This window comes from Homo sapiens, chromosome 1 (assembly GCF_000001405.40).
Source record: "Homo sapiens chromosome 1, GRCh38.p14 Primary Assembly".
Lineage (NCBI taxonomy): Eukaryota > Metazoa > Chordata > Mammalia > Primates > Hominidae > Homo > Homo sapiens.
The window spans coordinates 111,738,869-111,755,587 of NC_000001.11; the positions used below are offsets into that span (position 1 = coordinate 111,738,869).

The following is a 16,719-nucleotide window of genomic DNA, read 5'->3' on the forward strand; positions in this document are numbered from 1 at the left end:
GTGTGCCTGGCCGTCTCTGGGCGTGCCCTATCTTCTCTCTGGGGTTCTCTGTGTCACATTTCAGCCTGGCTGGCTTGCTCCCTCTGTCTCTCTGTCACTTGTTCTTGTCTCATCACAAATCTTTGCTCAAAGTTTCTTCGTGGTCCCCTTTCCTGAGGACAAGCCCTGCCCTCTGCCTGCGGGCCCGCGTCCTCTCCTCTCTTCCCTGGCCCTCCTCCGCCCTGCTTACGTCCCGGCTCCCCGGGGGCCGGGGCGGAGACCAGGTGCCCGTCGGGGCGGAGCAGCCCTCCCTGCCCCGGCGCCAGCTTCGCTCTTACCAGCTCCTGTTTGAGGCGACGGAGATAGCAGTCCATTTCCCTGCTCTCCATCGTCATGCGCCCATTTGTCGGGTTCGGTTCAAACAGAGAGGGCCCGGGTGAAACCCCGGCCCCACTGGAAACTGCGCTCCGGGCCGGCTCCCCGCCCCTGCGCCCGTAGCGCTCGCAGCGCGGAGCTGAGCCTGCGCTCCGAGCCCGGGACTCAGAGTCGCTTCCCCAGCGGCTAGCCGCGCGCGGTCGGTGCTGGGGGTGGAGGGAAAAGTGGGACAGCCAATGAGAATTCAGGGGGGCTGTCTTCAGCCAATGGGCAGGGCGGCCGGGAGGCCGGGCTGGGCGGCCGAGGCGGACCCTACCGCAGTGTTTGCACAGGACCCGGGCGCAGCCACTGGGGCTGGCGAGGACACACCTGGTCCCGGCCAGCGCGGCGGAGGGCATCGTGACTCCAGGCTGTACCGCGGCCCCCAACGAAGCACGTGACCCTCGTGTGGTCATAAAGGGAGAGCACAGTTTTACGGGGAGGGACTGGGTAGCGGTCTCAGTAACAGGCAGAGTGCCATAGTGTCAGTCCCTTTTCCCAAACTCCGATCAGGAAGGGAAACACCCCCACCCACTCCGCTCCCATCCCCAGAAGTCCCTCAGAAGCTCTTTTCTCCCCGAAGAGGACCCTGGGAAGGTGGCTCCCGCCTCACTCCTAGAGTGAAATCCTCGCAGCCCTGCCCTCGCGGGCGGAGCAGAGACGCCGCCGCTTGGCCGGTTCACGCCTGTCACACAAAGCCGCCGAGGGTCGGCTGCGCCCCTGGCAAGGCTGTAGGGCTGGGGATACTGAGTATGACAGGCGAGGTCCCTGCTCTCAAGAACTTACATGGGAGAGAAGGGGAGACAAGATAAACAGGTAAACACACACACACACACGGTAAGCACGGTAATTTCAGACAATGATTTTTATGAAAACATGAAACGGGGTAAGGGGGTCGGGCTGCTTTCCCTGGGGCCTTCAGTGGGGTGGGCAGGGAACAAGCCTTTCTCTCCCCAGAGCTCGGCGTCAGTCAACCTAGCTGACGCTCTCGCCTTTGGCGAAGCGCTCTAAGGCCGGGACGCTCCTTTGTTATTCAAAAGGAGCCGGGCGAGCGCCAGCCAGGCCCTGGAGGATGGAGTTGCGGCCAATAGGCTCGATAGGCCGATGGGCTCCGCAGACCGGTGGGGGGTGCTCCTCCCAGCCCAGCCCTGGACGCCGGGCTCCGCGCCCGCCAGCGCTGCTCCCTCCCAGCGCGGAGACGCCGCGCCCGGCCGGGACAGCCGGGGACGGTGGCGGAGAGCACGGAGAGTAATTAAGCAATTAGCGACGTGTTGTTAAAAGGTAATTAACGGGGAAAAGTTTGCCCCAGGCAGGATTAGAGGTCTCTGAGTGGGACAACTGTAAGAACACCAGAGAAGGCACGAACGGTGCCGGCGCCGCCATCGGTCCGTCCGTGGCAGCCAAAAGTGCCAGATATGCTAACTATTGAAAGATGCGCGGGTGGCGCACGCCTGTAATCCCAGCACTTTGAGAGGCCGAGACGGGTGGATCACTTGAGTTCAGGAGTTCGAGACCAGCCTGACCAACATGGAGAAACCCCGTCTCCACTAAAAATACAAAATTAGCTGGGCGTGGTGGCCTATGCCTGTAATCCCAGCTACTCCGGAGGCTGAGGAAGGAGAATCGCTTGAAAGCGTGAGGCGGAGGTTGCAGTGAGCCGAGATCGGGCCATTGCACTTTAGCCTGGGCAACAAGAGAGAAACTCCGTTTAAAAAAAAAAAAAAAAAAAAAAAAAAAAAAAAAAAAAAAAAAAAAAAGACAGGGGAGAGGAAGAGGAGAGAGATAGATACAGAGAGACACAGAGACATGGCGCGGGGAGGGAGGAGGGACAGAGATGGAGGGGAAGAGAGGGAGGGTGAGAGAGAGAAACAGAATTAATCTTTAGAAGAGTTTGCAGAGTCCAGTTGAATGGCCTCCACTTAACAACCCCAGGTCCTCAATTACACAATAGCCCTTGCCTACACCTTTCAGCCTAGCCCCAAGTGTCCCTCTGGGCGAAGCTGGGGCAGCTGTAGCCAATGGATAGAGAAAAGAAAAAAGAGGCACAATATGGGCTGAACTTGGTCGGTGACCGCTGGCCAAGCCCAGGCAACTCTGGTCCTACCAGTCTGAGCAGTATTGGCCCTCCTGCCTTTTCTGCAGCTGTGGGCAGAAATTCTCCAAGAGATCCCTTTCTATGGGACCCACCAGATGTTCAGAGTGAGAGCTGCCCCCAAGGACACAGCTGTGGTTTCCAGTCCAGCTGAAGAAGTTCTGTAGTTGAATACTATGGGACTGGGATAGAAAGGACCCAGCATTGACATATAGTCCACAGAGGGGGACTTCAATGGGGACAAACACCACAAAAGGGTTCCCCAACTTGAAGGGCCTGGCTTTGCTCCATCTCCAGTCTCCAGCACGGTAGTCAGATGTAAGAAACTCTGAGTAAACATTTGTGGATCTGTGGCTGAAATAGTGTTTTTGTTTTGTTTTTGTTTTTTGAGACAGCCTCACTCCCAGGCTGGAGTGCAGTGGTGTGATCTTGGCTCACTGCAACCTCTACCTCCCAGGTTCAAGCGATTTTCGTGCCTCAGCCTCCTGAGTAGCTGGGATTACAGGCGCATGCCATCACGCCTGGCTAATTTTTGTATTTTTAGTAGAGACGGGGTTTCACCATGTTGGCCAGGCTGGTCTCAAACTCCTGAACTCAGGTGATCCGCCTGCCTCGGCCTCCCAAAGTGCTGGGATTACAGGCATGAGCCACCGTGCCTGGCCTGGTGAAATAGTCTTTAGGGTCAAGCTTAAGCCCCAGTTTTCTCCATCTCTGAGACTTCATGGACTGGAATCCACTTGGAAGTTGGGAGGCTAAGGTTGAAAATCCAAAAGAAGTGGGCTGATCTCTTGGCAAGAACCTAGGACTGGGCGGTTGGGTCTTCTGTGCTGCTGACAACAGAGTATGACCTTGCACAAATGCTTTCCTTTTACTGGGCATCAGTTTCCCCTGCTTATGGGTTTAAACCTTTGTGAGTCTAATACTTTATACTCCTTACAAAACTCTCTTCTGGGCTGGGCGCAGTGACTCATGCCTGTAATCCCAGGACTTTGGGAGGCCGAGGTGGGCAGATCACGAGGTCAGGAGTTTGAGACCAGCCTGGCTAATATGGTGAAAACCCGTCTCTACTAAAAATACACAAATTAGCCTGGTGCGGTGGCGGGCATCTGTAATCCCAGCCACTCAGGAGGCTGAGGCAGTAGAATCGCCTGAACCGGGAGGCGGAGGTTTCAGTGAGCCGAAATCGCGCCACTGCACTGTAGCCTGGGTGACAAAGCGAGACTCCGTCTCAAAAAAATAACTCTCTTCTGAAAACTAACTGTGAAGTAGTCAGGAGCAGGGGAATGTTTACCCCATCTTACAGATGAAGAATGTATTGTTAGCAAAGCCAGCTCACATTCCATCCATTTTCAGGTAGAGAGAGATAGCAAGAAAACAAATTGATAATCATAATACCAGTGCAGAGCTCAAAAGAGAAGTTTTAGACAAGTCTGAGGTGGTATCACTGTGTGGTTCCCACAAGACTTTGGAGGACAATTACTGTCTAACTCTGAAGTCCTTTCATGGTGCTGGGCCATTGCAACTTACGTATTCCCTTGCTTCTGAGAAGGCCAACGTTACCCCAGGAGTGTGTGTGTGTTGGGGGGCAGTCTCTCTCTTGCCTTGTTGCTGAAGAGGTAACTCTCATCTGGGCAGAGCAGGCAGGTGGCAAAAGTAGGAAAAATAGCTGCCTTCTGCTTTTTCTTTTTAAAAAAGGATTTAAGTGATGAGAATAAAGCCTGTTGCCATGGTTATATAAACATGGATAAATATTTCTGGGCTGGGGATGGGGGCTGGGGGACGTGATTCATTTCTGCTGAAGAGGAATCAGATGGCTCAGCCTCCTCCCTTCCACCCACCCCCCTCCGAAACTCAGCCTGGAGGAAGGATGAGGTTATCTCATTCGAAAATAAATAATAAAGAAATCAAAGGTCTTGGGATTGGTTGTGAACATACCTTCTTAATGCTGTTCAGACCTGGGGTGGAACCCTCAGAAGGTACGTAGCCATTTGCCCTCCAGTGGTCGGTACTTTACCTGACAGAGAGGGTGCAGCTCCTGGAAACTGTATCCAGTGCTGTCAACTCTTGGGACTTGACTGCCTAACCTAGCCAGGGAAGGTGGCCCCCTTTGTCCCACTGCCAGAGCCTGAAGCTCCTGGCACCTATCAATGAGCTCAAATGAAGAGGCAGAACCAGTTGTGTCCCAAGGGAGCTCAGATCCTATATTAAATAATGGAAACACCACCATTCTCCTGGCTCCAGATCCTATGGCACCCACCTGGAGGTCCCTATCCACCAGGTCCTAGCCAGCTCTGGAAGACATACCCGAGTGAGGCAGTATCCAGCTTCTCATCTCTACTGGCAACAGGAGAGCTGGACAGCACATCCTGGTGCAAGGAGAGAGATATGTGGTCACATACCAGTCTGGAAACCTCATCATAACATCACCCTCCCAAGGGCAGGGGCCCTATCCCCAGTGCCCTCATTCCTTGCCCCCGACTGTGGCTGCCAACAACTATTACCCCAATCCCATCACCCACCACATGCTGCCTGATCATCAACAGGAAAGGCTGACCCTAGAGATAAACACATGCTGTTGGAATGTGTTCAGATATCACTGCGGAACTGTTTCTCTCTAGGGAGAGGACCTTGCCTGACAGGCTGGCCCAGAGGTGCTGAGCAGAGACTGTGTACGTGTCTGTGTGGGAACACATTGGGATGGTAGGGGAGGAACTGGACTGAGGCCCAGCTATTCTTGAAAGCATCCAACTCCTAGCTTTCATGACATCTTCCTTTGTCCACCTTAGACACAGGACTGGGCTCCTCTGACCCTTGTAATTCCAATACCAGGAGGGACAGCTGAGAGGATGAAGTGGCCTGTGTGTTGGGGAACCCTCTCAGTTCCAAAAGAAATAATCACTTCGGGTTTTAATTAAAAATTAAAAAAACCCTTTGGACTGGGTGGAGGAATCAAAGACTGCAGTCATAAAAAGGTCCATGAACTTTGGGTGTCTTCAAACAAAGGTTGTCATTCTCTTACAGATGGAGCAACTCAACCCAAAAAGGTTGGTCTGTATGGTGACGGAATGTGGTCTCCCAGTTTTCAGCACAGCACTCATTCAGCTATTCTGCTCTTCAGAAAGCAGGAGGGATGTGCCCTAAGGTGGACTATTGAAATGATGAAAGCCACTGAGGAAGTGAGTTCTGATGTTCCACATCCACAGAATTGCCATCACTCTTTTTTTTTTTTTTTGAGACAGAGTCCCGCTCTGTCGCCCAAGCTGGAGTAAGTGGCATGATCTCAGCTCACTGCAACCTCCGCTTCCTGGGTTCAAGCGATTCTCCTGCCTCAGCCTCCTGAGTAGCTGGGACTACATGTGTGCAGACTACAGGTGTGCGCCACCACGCCCAGCTAATTTTTGTATTTTTAGTAGAGACGGGGTTTCACCATATTGGCCAGACTGGTCTCAAACTCCTGACCTCGTGATCTGCCCGCCTCGTGCTTTTACCCATAGTGCTAACTTAGACCACCACTCTCACAACCTTTACTTCTTTATAAAGTCACTGGGCTTCAAGATCAGGCTATCAGTTACAGAGTTGCTGAAACTTTTTAGAGAGGGACTGAAGGAAGGTGATAGAAGAAGAAATAGCAATATGGTATTTTGAGTAAACTTCATGTATGAATGGCTCCCAGGCTATCTCATCTGAACAGTTTTCAAGTGCAAAATTAGATTTGTCCAAATAATGAACAGGTAGTCTGTGGGCTGATACTCACTTCTATATGGAATAATTTGGAGCTATGGGCTTGGTGCTTATGGTGCCTAAGCAAAGATCTCATTGCTACTTGGGAAGCAAGTATTTCCATTTTGCAAACATTTACTGGAAAGGCAAGCAAATATACACACACACACACACACACACACACAGAGATATTATATATATATATATATATATATATATATTTTTTTTTTTTTTTTTTTTTGAGACAGGGTCTCACTCTGTCAACCAGGTGGAGTGCAGTGGTGTGATCACGGCTCACTGCACCCTTGAGCTCCCTTGGCTCAGGTGATCCTCCCACCTAAGCCGCCAAAGCAGCTGGGACTACAGGCACATGCCACCATGCCCAGTATATATATATATGGTTTTTTTTGTGGAGACAGGGTTTTGCCATGTTGCCCAGGTTGGTCTTGAACTCCTGAGCTCAAGCAATCTGCTCACCTCAGCCTCCCGAAGTGCTGGGATTACAGGCGTGAGCCACCGTGTTGGGCCAGGAAAAGCAAATATTTTTGAACTACGAAGAACACGTGAAGAATGCCAGGGCACACCTAAGGGAAATATGGTATTTGTGCAAACTAATGATGGTGGATGCAAACTGTACCAGGAAAGAAAATGGCTCATACCCAGGACTCTCCTGGGACATTCTGTAACATCTGATACTCCAGAGGCCCAGTGCTGGCTGCCCTGTAACCTTACCATGGCCTGGAACTCAGAGCAAAGGCTCATTTTATCACATACCACTTGGCCATCTCCACTAGCTAGCTGTAAGCAAGGACCAGTGGTTGGCAGCTTGCCAGGGAGAGACATATTAGCAAGAGGGAAAGAAAAGCCACCTGCTTCTCCTCCTGAGACCATGGGGTGAGGAGAAAAAGAGGTCACATCTCAGGTTTGGCTGTCTGCATGTTTGCTTCCACCAGACTGGCTCTTAAGTCTCTTCTGTTGTTTTTCAGGAGCCAGAGAATTCTCGTAGCTGTGATTAGACATCAACCTTGGGCATGCTAAACATTTCAGCCTGGACACCCTGAGAAGAGCCAGTGCCACTGGTGACAGCTGCTTCTGTGCGGGCTTTTGCTTGGCCAGAGAGGCAGGACCTTCTCCCTGGCATTTTGAGGAGTGGTGCCGGGTGGGCAGTGACTGCACTAGCAACAGTCTATACCAAGAGAAGACCTCAAATTCCCAGAGAAGAAAGGCAGCGAGGCCAAGAAATGCTGCCGCCGCTTAACAAGTGAAGATGCATACTGGAGAATAGGAACTGAACACGCGAAGGAGTTTCGGCTTTACTGCCTTCTCTCCTAGCATTGAACAGATCTTCTCTGCTGTTGATTATTCTCCATGAATCATCATCCATAGAAAGTGACTGAGGCAATAGAGAGTGAATAATGAATCTCTCAAATAGTCTTTTGTGTTTCTGCCTGGAGGGTTTTGGAAATAACTTGCATCTTAATCTTTCTGACTTAGAATCATAGAATTTGGGAGCTGAAAAGGACCTTCATCAGGGCATGTGGCCTCACAGAAAGACTGGAAGAAAAGATTTGTGGGTATGAGCCTCTGGTTCATCACTAAAAATAGGCCTAGTCTAACATATATTGGAGGCTTTCCTTGTGTCAGGTACTCATTTATTCTTCCAAAACCTTGGGAGGTAGGTGCTGCTATTCCTCCATTCTGCAGAGGAGGAAGAGATGAGGAGACAGTAGATCACCAGAGGGCAGTGTGAGGGGTGTGCTGGAACCATCATGTGGAACTGGCTCTGGTTCCAGAATCCACATCCTCTCGGTCATTCCACTCCCACATCAAGTGGCTTTGGACAAGTAATTTAACTTCTTTGGATCTCAGTTTTCTCCTCCGTGATCTCTAAAGTTTAAAAATTACTAACAGTCTGCATCTGCCACCCAAGCATGTGATTTTACAAGTCAGAAAAGTGTAGCGCAGAAATGTTAAGTGACCTGCCCTAGGTCACCCAGGTTGCTAAGGGCAGAATCAGCACAGAAACCCAGGCCCAGTGACCACTGCCCCCAGGCAAGACCTCCTTCCCTTCCACTGCACTTTGGCAGGTGTTCTAGGGGAATCCAACTCCTTGCCTTAGAGGAGACCTGTTCAATGATATCAGATAGACTGGAGATGTTACGTTTTGGTGTGGCCAATCACAACACCAGGATGAGCTTAGGAGGCTGGTGATATTTGTCTATCTAAGCACCCCCAACCTATCTATCTGTCTGCTGTTTGTCTATCTTTCTCAGGTTATGCATAGTGACCAAACCCCGCCTGGTAACTGTAGGGAAAGAGCATGACTGGTGTGTTACAGCTACACACGCCCCCTGGTGGTATTTCCAGTTGTTTGTCCTCTTCATGCAAATGTTGCCACCTTGTGCCAGCTCTCTCACCTAGCTTCCTTCATGACGACAGTGGTTGCAATTCTGCTCCTCTCTCTGCCTTCCCCTGTCCTTGGCTCCCCATGTCCAGAATCTGATCATTTACTGGTGTGCACCCTGGGATGTGATGTGTGCTTTGGGAGGAGACAGGACCCAACAGTATCTCAGCTGTGCTCTGGTAATCAGTGTGCACCACATTACAAGCATCCTCATCCCAGTATCCTCCCTATTGAAAAAGAAATGGGAAAGGGGTGGATGTGTCAATAAACACAACATTGAAGGCATCTGAAATAGAACAAGGACATCCTGGGTGAGGCATTATTCACAATGTGTATCCATATATGTGTGTGAGTGTGTGTGTGTGTGTGTGGTTCAGACAGTCTGAAATGAGCTCTCACCCACTGGTGAGTGGAAAATTAGCTTTGGCAGGTGAAGAACTGGGTGACAGGTGAGGAAGCCACCAGGGTATCAGTGTTATCCTTCTACTATTGCTGTTTCTGGTGTTGCTAACAATATCTCTCCCACCTCTCCCTGTTCCATGAAATGTAATTAGGTAGAGTAGAAATGACTTGGAAGGGCTTGGGCACGTGGGAGAGTAATATGAAGATGTTACAATGGCCTTGTGACCTTGTAAGTGAGCCATGTGCTTGCAGGTGGGCTGCGCTAGGCTAGTTGCGAATTAGCATTTTCCTGACGGCCCATGAAGCAAGCTGTGTGGTTTTCATTTCTAGTGGGTGGAAGAAAAGATGGCACTCCAGGGACTAAGTCCTAGGAAATTCTGCCATCTGGCATAATGTTGGAGGCAGTGTGTGCCAGGGCAGGAAATATGGGTTCTTGGGCTGGCTCTAGATTGGCCCTGTAATCTCTAATGCCTCAGTTTCTCTAACTGTAAAGTGGGACAGATAATCCCACTGCTACCTTCTTGTGAAGGTAAAGTATGCAAAGGCCCTTTGAAATGTCGAGAGCACGGTTCTAAATGTGGCTTGCCTGCCAAAGGAATTTGCCAGGCCTACTGGGAGGCAGCAGTTTGCTTCTGTGTCAGTTTCTACAGTCTGTGCTCAGACAGGTACTTAAGCATCTCACATCCATAAATCTCACCTCCTATCTATAGTCAGCAAATAAGAAAAAGGGCAGGCTGATGCTCTGCTTCTGTCTGATCTTCTTACCAATCCTACCCTTGCCTCCCCTCCCCCTGACCTGATGCGATGATCTTGCTGCTCTCCCTCATCTGTTCTGGGCCTGTCAGTTTAATTTAACAAGGTTCTGGGAGAGGTTTGATTTAATCAACCCAGTTGCTGTATCCATCCTGCTCAGAGGTCCCTCAGTGTCACCACCGAGGCTCAGATTAGACAGTGACAATTACTTCTTCTTTCCTGGCTATTGCCTCCCCCTTCCCTTTCACTCCCTGGAGGGAACAAGGAGGCAGACCAATCTCTTGGGACCTAAGAATAGATGCGGGAGGATCAAAGGAGGGAAACAGGCTCTGGCCTGAGAAAGCCCCTCTCCATACCTTACATGGCCTTGTTTAAGGCTGAGTAACAGCCCAAAGGGTGGAGGGAATAGAAAATGTGAGCGAAGCTGCCTTGCAAAGGCTCAAGGCTGCCTGAGGACAGAGCTGTGCCATCACTGATGGCCCCACAGAGATAAAACCAGTCTCCCTTATTGTCAGGAAACTGGGGTGGAGGGTGGGTAGAGAAGTAAGATAGCTGCATGCTCTATGTACTCCAGACCACGAGCATTTATTTCCAGGTTCTCGGCCTGGATTCTGGGGTCTCCGGAGCTGGGAGACAACCACAACAACAGGAAGGCGAGGCCCCATCCATCTGAGCTTCTGTGGCTCTGTTCTTGGTGTGGAAGCTGCAGTGACAAGAGGAGATGCCACCTGAGCCAGGGGTTCAGGGGCAGCTGTGTGGGTGTGAGGTAACTATGCTGTGTGTGTTGGGGTGTGTGTGTGTGTGTGTGTGTGTGCGCGCGCGCGCGTGCTAGGGAGCCAAGGCAGGGGAGTCTCTGGTGCAGACAGTTCAAAATTCCAGAACAAATCTCTTTTGTTGTCATTTAACCCTTTCATTTCCCTCTCTTTTCAGGAAGTGGGTGCTCAGCACCTCTTGTTCTCCTAATCAGCTCAGAGAAGAGACAAAGGCCTCTTCAAGGGAAGCCCTTACTTAGGGTGATAGAAATTCTTTTTCTTTTTGCTCCTTTGTGTCACATTCTTCCATCGGTCAGCAGGCAACTGACAGGTGTACCCCTCCCTGAGCCCCATTCAGAGTTCCCCTCCCTGCCATTTGTCTCTCACCCAGATATCCAGCAGACACCACCATCCACAGGAGCTGAATATGATTAGCAGAAACCCTTCCTGACAGCTCCAAAGAGGATCCCTCAAATGCATATTCTATTGAGTGCATCTCATTGCTGCTGACAGCCGCTTTATCAATTAAATTCCACATTCCGTCTTCAGAGATGCCATGAACCTCCCTAATAAATCATAGGCCCCCAGTTATTGTTAAATGTCCCATCAGTCTCTAATAAACTCCCTGCCAAAAGGGGCAGGTTATTTATTATGCTGCCTGGACAAGAATAAATTGGGCCCCTTTCTCGAAAGAAGAGCAAACACGCCACCTTCCTCCCTAAAGACTGAGGCAGTGGTGTTAAATGGGACAATTAATCAATGTGGGCCTTGTGCAGAGAGGAATCTGGTCTGAAGCCTGAGGGAGGATCACCTGGGGTTCTCTTCCAAAGCCAGTCAGGCAATCCCCATGGTGGGGGGTGGCTGTGCAGTGGGCATGGGCTCAGGCTTTTGCTAGTTCTCCCTCTTTCCTAATTCCTGAGGCTAGTCACCCCATAAGCCATGAGACACATGTAAAAATGGGTATTTTCCACGTTGGGAGGTAGCCAGCTAGGATTGAGCAGGGTCATGAAATAATACATTCTATCTAGAAGGGCAGAAGTTGTTTCTTGATAAACTTGATACAACATAAGTTTATAGATGGTGCCAGTTCACTGAACAGATGGCTCAAGAATATAACAATGAAAGTACCCGTGGCTAGGCAAAGCAACTAGGAAGCATAAGCTAGTTGTGCTTTGCTGGATAAGCAGCATGTACATAGGGGTGGCACTGGCACTTGGAAAGCAGTGTACCAACACCTAAAGTCCTAGGAACTGCTAGATCTAAGAAACAGTGTGTGTTGTGGGCCTTTCCATTACTTGCCTCATATTAGATCCCAAACCTAGGTGATGCTCCAAAGTCTGCAAGTTAAGATCCAAACTGCTCGGCTTTGCCACTACCCAAGCCCCAAGTTACATTTCCAGCTGTATTTCTCTTTACTGCTAAATAACACTACCCCCCTTTGGAAGAGCATAATGGATGAGGTGCTCCTTAATATAGGGCCAGTATATCTCTGCATCCTCATGTCCAGGTCATTTCTGCCATACCTGCCTCTACTCACAGTAAAAGACTTAACTTCCCTAAACAACTATGGCTTTCATGCTTCCACGCCTCTACACAAACTGTTCTCTGTGCCTAGAATATCTTTCTGAGACTTGTCTGCCTGGTGAGCTCTCTTTCCACTCCCACTGCCTGATGAACGCCTTATTCAGGATAAGCTCAGGGTATCAGCCCCCACTGCTTCACAGGACTTGAGCTTTGTCTCCTGGTGCTGCTGTCTTGGCAGAAGTGCTGGACTCCAGGAATTAGGTAAACAATGATCTTGTATGTGCAGTTGTTCTCTCATACTTCCATACATACTTGAAGCAACTTTGATTTGGGGTGTGGAGGAGAAGGACATAGAGAAGAAAGCTATTGCTCTTTGAATACCAAAAGCTGTTTTCCTCAGTTTCTCAGAAGTTCTCACTCTCTCCCACGACAGCCACACTTTGAACAACTAAGGCCCTGAAAAAATGTCAGTACTGCATATGATTTTACACCAGCTTGTGCTACTTGCATATTTCATGCTTGATCATTTCCCCAGCTGGGCTGTCAACTCTTTTAGGACAGAGGATAGAAAGAGCCTAGACTTTGCTGTCAAATAGATCTGAGTTCCAATCCCAATTATGAGCTCTGTGACTTTGAGCAGATTACTAATCTTCTTCTGAGGAGTTACTTGAGGGCAGCATCTCCTTCGGCATCTGACATGTAGAAGGCTTTTAGGATAAAGTCCAGACACCAACCTGGCCTACACTTCACTCTCCTGCTCATCAAAGCTTACTGTCCCATTTGCATTCTAAGCTCTTTTAGAATGTGCTATGGTGGTCCTCACCTCCAGACCTCCGTTTTCCCCTCCTCTGTCACAAGGCCAACTTTGATTCATTTTTCAGACTTACTGTAGCTCTCACTAATGCTAGGAAGATGTGGCAGAGACTGTTAGTTGCCTCCAATGTCCTTTCCCCCTTCCTCTATAGTAATGGACCTCCTCTCAAATCAGTGTACAGCTGGGCACGTGATTGTCCAGAAAAATGACATTTCCCAGATTTTTTTTTTTTTTTTGCAAGAAGGTATAACTTTATGGCTAAGTTCTTTCCAAGAAATGCCAGATAGTGTGGCAGCTTTTGAGAACATTTCTTAAAAGGACTGCTGGCATGATGACCATTACCATTTCTACTTTCTATTTTGAGTCTTCCTCCTTCCTGCTGGCTGCAATGCAAACGTGATGACTGGAACTACAGCAACTGTTTGGGGACCAAGGCAGAAGCCTGGGTGATTGGGATCTTTGTGGATCAGGGCTGTTTATCAGTCCTGCTTCCAGAATTCTCTACAAGGGCAAAATGAACTTCTATCTTGGGGAGGTAAGCTCCTATTTTGGGGCCTTACTTTCAATCAAACCTAATCTTGATGGCTAAGTCTTTCTTGGCTCCCCACATCTGGTTACCTCCTTGACTTCAGTAGCACCCTGCACTTTATACAGGAAATGAGGATACCTGTTTGTGTGCATCTGTCTCCCCAAGTGCAGAGGCTCTGTTTACTTTGTTCCATTTTTGTATCTCTAGCACTTGGCTGGTTTATACTAGGTGTTCAGAAAATTTTTGTTGAATGATTAGAGATGTTTTGTAGATTGAATGCAAATAATAATATTGCCTACCTTGTGTTGCTTTGAGGGTCAAATGAGAAAAAGTGGCTTTAAAATCTTAAGTTTTCTTCCCTTCTTTCCACATTCCCCCACCGATCCTCACACCCAGGGTGGGCCACCTTACAGTATGCCTTCCTTTATACTGTTTTCTTTTTCTTTTTTTTTTTTCTTTTGAGACGGAGTCTCGCTCTGTTGCCCAGGCTAGAGTGCAGTGGTGTGATCTCGGCTCACTGCAAGCTCTGCTTCCCGGGTTCACGCCATTCTCCTACCTCAGCCTACCGAGTAGCTGGGACTACAGGTGCCCACCACCACGCCCGGCTAACTTTTTGTATTTTTTTTCTAGTAGAGACAGGGTTTCACCATGTTAGCCAGGATGGTCTTGATCTCCTGACCTTGTGATCCGCCCACCTCGGCCTCCCAAAGTGCTGGGATCACAGGCGTGAGCCACCGCGCCTGGCCTGTTTTCTTTTCCTCTGGGTTCAGAAGCCTCCAGTGCAAAATGATTGGATGAGATCATTTGAATCTTAACACCCATTCTGAGTCTAAGTGTCACTCTCACCTTTTCAGTTCATAGGAATCTCTCCCTCCTCTAGCTCCCTGGAAAGGCTCTCCAGGTAGATGGAACAGCAAATACAAAGGTATTGAGGTGTTACAAGTCATGGAGAATTAAGCATCTGGGCTAGTTGGGTCTGGTTGGAGGAGGTAGATGGGCTGCTCTGCCAGAGAAGAGACAGGGATCCCACTGTTATTTATCCCGGGGGAGGCTGGGAGACAGACACAATCAAGCCCATTTCTGTATGTGTTATGCTCACACCTTACCTAGTTATTAAATGATTTCTTGCTTTTGTGCAAGAGATCTTTATAGCACTAAAAATTATGGTCAACAACACTGTTATAACTTTTGACTAGTGAGAAAAAAAATTTGTGTTATTCACCATGGTTCCCAATAACATTACTGCAATATTTGTGTCTGTAAAACATCAAAAACAACAAATGCAGTAACAGAATGCCTATAAAACTATAAATGTTTTCTGGAAATGTAGTCTTTTTGCTTTTCTTGGGATAATCCTGTGGTTCTTCAGCAGTGATTGGTGTGAGTTCTACAGAACCGCTGCTATGTGCATGGAGACCCAGAAGAGATTTTTGAGCAAGAAGGTGTCAGCCATTCAATGTTTATTGGGTCTACCAGGTGCTTGGTGCTGGCCTGGAGGGCCTAGGATGACAAAATTACTGTCCTTGAGAAGCTCACAGTTTATTTAATGTGAGGCACATACAAGTAACCAAGCAAATACAACATAAGAGCCAGACTGGAATTATTTATAGTGTGATGTGGGACCCTGGGGTGGGGAATAAAAAAGGGTATCAAAAGGAGCAGGATCAAAAGGAGCAGGATCTGGAGCTGGACCCAAACAGCTTAAGATATCCACTTAAGAAAGATCACTCCAGCACCTGTGGGGTACATGGCTGGGATAGAGAAGAAACTCTGGCCAGAGAAACCATTCAGGAGGTTTTTGCGAGTTAGGATGATAAAGGGATCTAAAATATAGGGCAGATTCTACGGAGACTGAAGAAGAATGGGTGAAATATTTGGAGGCAAAATTACTTGTGCTTGGTAAATTGTTAGAAAGTGGCAAAGGAGTCAAGAATAATTCCCAGGTTTGTGGTCTGGGGATTAGGCAGATAAAAGAGGTGAGGGCACTAAGAGGAAGGCTGGGACCTTTAGTGCCATCTCCACCATCAGTCTCCATTCCTTCAAACGGATAGTTGACATTTTCTCAATGTTTTGTACATTTCCAGGCAAAATAAACCTTCAGGACCACCTTCCAATGGGATTACCATGTCAAAGCCCCTCCTATATCATATGGAATCTAGACCATCACTGTGTGTGTGTCAAGGGGGTAGGGACAATGACCAGCATTATAATCTATGGACAAAGTTGGGCTTGGTTGCAGAATATATTTAAGTTTGGTATTCTTTGTATTTTTAAAAATTTGTTTACTTTTTAAGAATTTGAGACAGGGTTTCTGCATGTTGCCCAGGCTGGCAACTCCTGGCCTCAAGCAATCCTCCCGCCTCAGCCTCCCAAGAAGCTGGAATCACAGGTGCGAGCCACCCCACACAACTAAATTTGGAATTATGAATATGGCTGAGGTCCAGAAATATTTAAATTTGGCATGATGACTAAGAGTTTGTTATAGGAGCTCAATCATTTGATAAATATTGAACATTTCCTATGTGTCAGATTGTTTTTCCCACTAGGGATGCAGAGGAGAACAAGACAGAATAGGTTCTTGTCCTCATAGAGTGTGGGAGACAGGCAGAAGACATATAATTTCAGGTAGGTATAAGTATCATAAAGAAAAAATAAAGCAAAACAAGAGAGTGCTGGGAAAGGCCAGGGAGCAGAGAGGATGACAGAGCTGTCTTAGGGTGTTCAAGACCTCTTTGAAAAGCTGATATTTGAGCAGAAGACCACAGCAAGGAAAAGTGGCAGAGACTGCTAGCTGCCTACGCATGAAATGATGGGGGAAGGAGCAATACAGAAGGCATGTAACATTTGAGAGTCTATTAGGCATCCCAAGGGAGGTGCTGCGGAGGCGGATGCATGGAGGCGGATGCGGAGGCGGATGCATGGAGGCGGATGCATGGAGGCAGATGGATGCACACGTCTAGAGTTTAAAAGGAGATCTGAGGCGGAGATACGAACTTGGGAGCTGTTAGTCCAGTTCCAGGTTCCAATTCAACGTACTTTTATCAGAGCTCACTGTGCGCCAGGGACTTGCTAGGAGATAAATGGGGTTTATCTCACCGGAGATAAATGTGGTTGCACAGCAGATGGACACACCAGCCAATGTGGTAAATAAACCCTTGGGTCCAGCTACGTTCTGCGCGCTCTCTGCCAGCACAGAGGAGCAGCGAGTCAGGGTACGGAGCGGGTAGCGTTGGGGAAGAGGTGGCCGCGAAGCGAGACAGGCCAGCGGAACGGAAAACGGAAGCACGAGACGGGGGCGTGACGCACCGGGCGCATCACAAAGAACGGCGAGAGGGC

The 16,719-nt window shown here is 48.9% G+C and overlaps 1 protein-coding gene and 2 long non-coding RNA genes across 6 annotated transcripts in view, besides 7 other annotated features; 1 reads left to right on the plus strand and 2 right to left on the minus strand.

Moving 5' to 3' along the window:
• The window catches only part of INKA2 (inka box actin regulator 2), a 33,734-nt gene that overhangs the window by 16,805 nt on the left and 210 nt on the right, over positions 1-16,719 (minus strand). For 2 of the 3 annotated variants that reach the window (NM_019099.5, XM_011541783.3), the window contains exon 1: positions 318-527. The exons of the other annotated variant lie outside the window; for it this stretch is intronic. In NM_019099.5, coding sequence (NP_061972.1) covers positions 318-374 — 57 coding nt within the window. In that variant the 5' untranslated portion in view covers positions 375-527. Of the gene's footprint in view, positions 1-317; positions 528-16,719 lie in introns of those variants that run through there. 3 annotated transcript variants of the gene reach the window in all.
• Positions 164-343: a silencer, noted in NCBI's record as "silent region_1189". NCBI's record gives its function as "represses an Ori minimal core promoter by ATAC-STARR-seq in GM12878 lymphoblastoid cells {active_cell/tissue: GM12878}" and the evidence as "EXISTENCE:reporter gene assay evidence [ECO:0000049][PMID:35858748]".
• Positions 374-443: a silencer, noted in NCBI's record as "silent region_1190". NCBI's record gives its function as "represses an Ori minimal core promoter by ATAC-STARR-seq in GM12878 lymphoblastoid cells {active_cell/tissue: GM12878}" and the evidence as "EXISTENCE:reporter gene assay evidence [ECO:0000049][PMID:35858748]".
• Positions 454-773: a silencer, noted in NCBI's record as "silent region_1191". NCBI's record gives its function as "represses an Ori minimal core promoter by ATAC-STARR-seq in GM12878 lymphoblastoid cells {active_cell/tissue: GM12878}" and the evidence as "EXISTENCE:reporter gene assay evidence [ECO:0000049][PMID:35858748]".
• On the plus strand, positions 973-8,930 carry INKA2-AS1 (INKA2 antisense RNA 1). Of its 2 annotated transcripts, NR_038951.1 has the most exons (3): positions 973-1,209; positions 5,507-5,661; positions 7,192-8,930. It is a non-coding gene; the product is annotated as an INKA2 antisense RNA 1 (long non-coding RNA). The 2 variants fall into 2 exon arrangements; NR_038952.1 differs by lacking the exon at positions 5,507-5,661.
• Positions 1,434-1,593: a silencer, noted in NCBI's record as "silent region_1192". NCBI's record gives its function as "represses an Ori minimal core promoter by ATAC-STARR-seq in GM12878 lymphoblastoid cells {active_cell/tissue: GM12878}" and the evidence as "EXISTENCE:reporter gene assay evidence [ECO:0000049][PMID:35858748]".
• Positions 1,774-1,853: an enhancer, noted in NCBI's record as "active region_1507". NCBI's record gives its function as "activates an Ori minimal core promoter by ATAC-STARR-seq in GM12878 lymphoblastoid cells {active_cell/tissue: GM12878}" and the evidence as "EXISTENCE:reporter gene assay evidence [ECO:0000049][PMID:35858748]".
• LOC101928718 (uncharacterized) lies at positions 6,449-16,641 on the minus strand. Its single transcript, NR_125963.1, has 3 exons — positions 16,420-16,641; positions 14,230-14,386; positions 6,449-8,836 (listed from the first exon to the last, which is right to left on the minus strand). It is a non-coding gene; the product is annotated as an uncharacterized LOC101928718 (long non-coding RNA).
• Positions 8,279-8,358: an enhancer, noted in NCBI's record as "active region_1508". NCBI's record gives its function as "activates an Ori minimal core promoter by ATAC-STARR-seq in GM12878 lymphoblastoid cells {active_cell/tissue: GM12878}" and the evidence as "EXISTENCE:reporter gene assay evidence [ECO:0000049][PMID:35858748]".
• Positions 16,522-16,571: an enhancer, noted in NCBI's record as "active region_1509". NCBI's record gives its function as "activates an Ori minimal core promoter by ATAC-STARR-seq in GM12878 lymphoblastoid cells {active_cell/tissue: GM12878}" and the evidence as "EXISTENCE:reporter gene assay evidence [ECO:0000049][PMID:35858748]".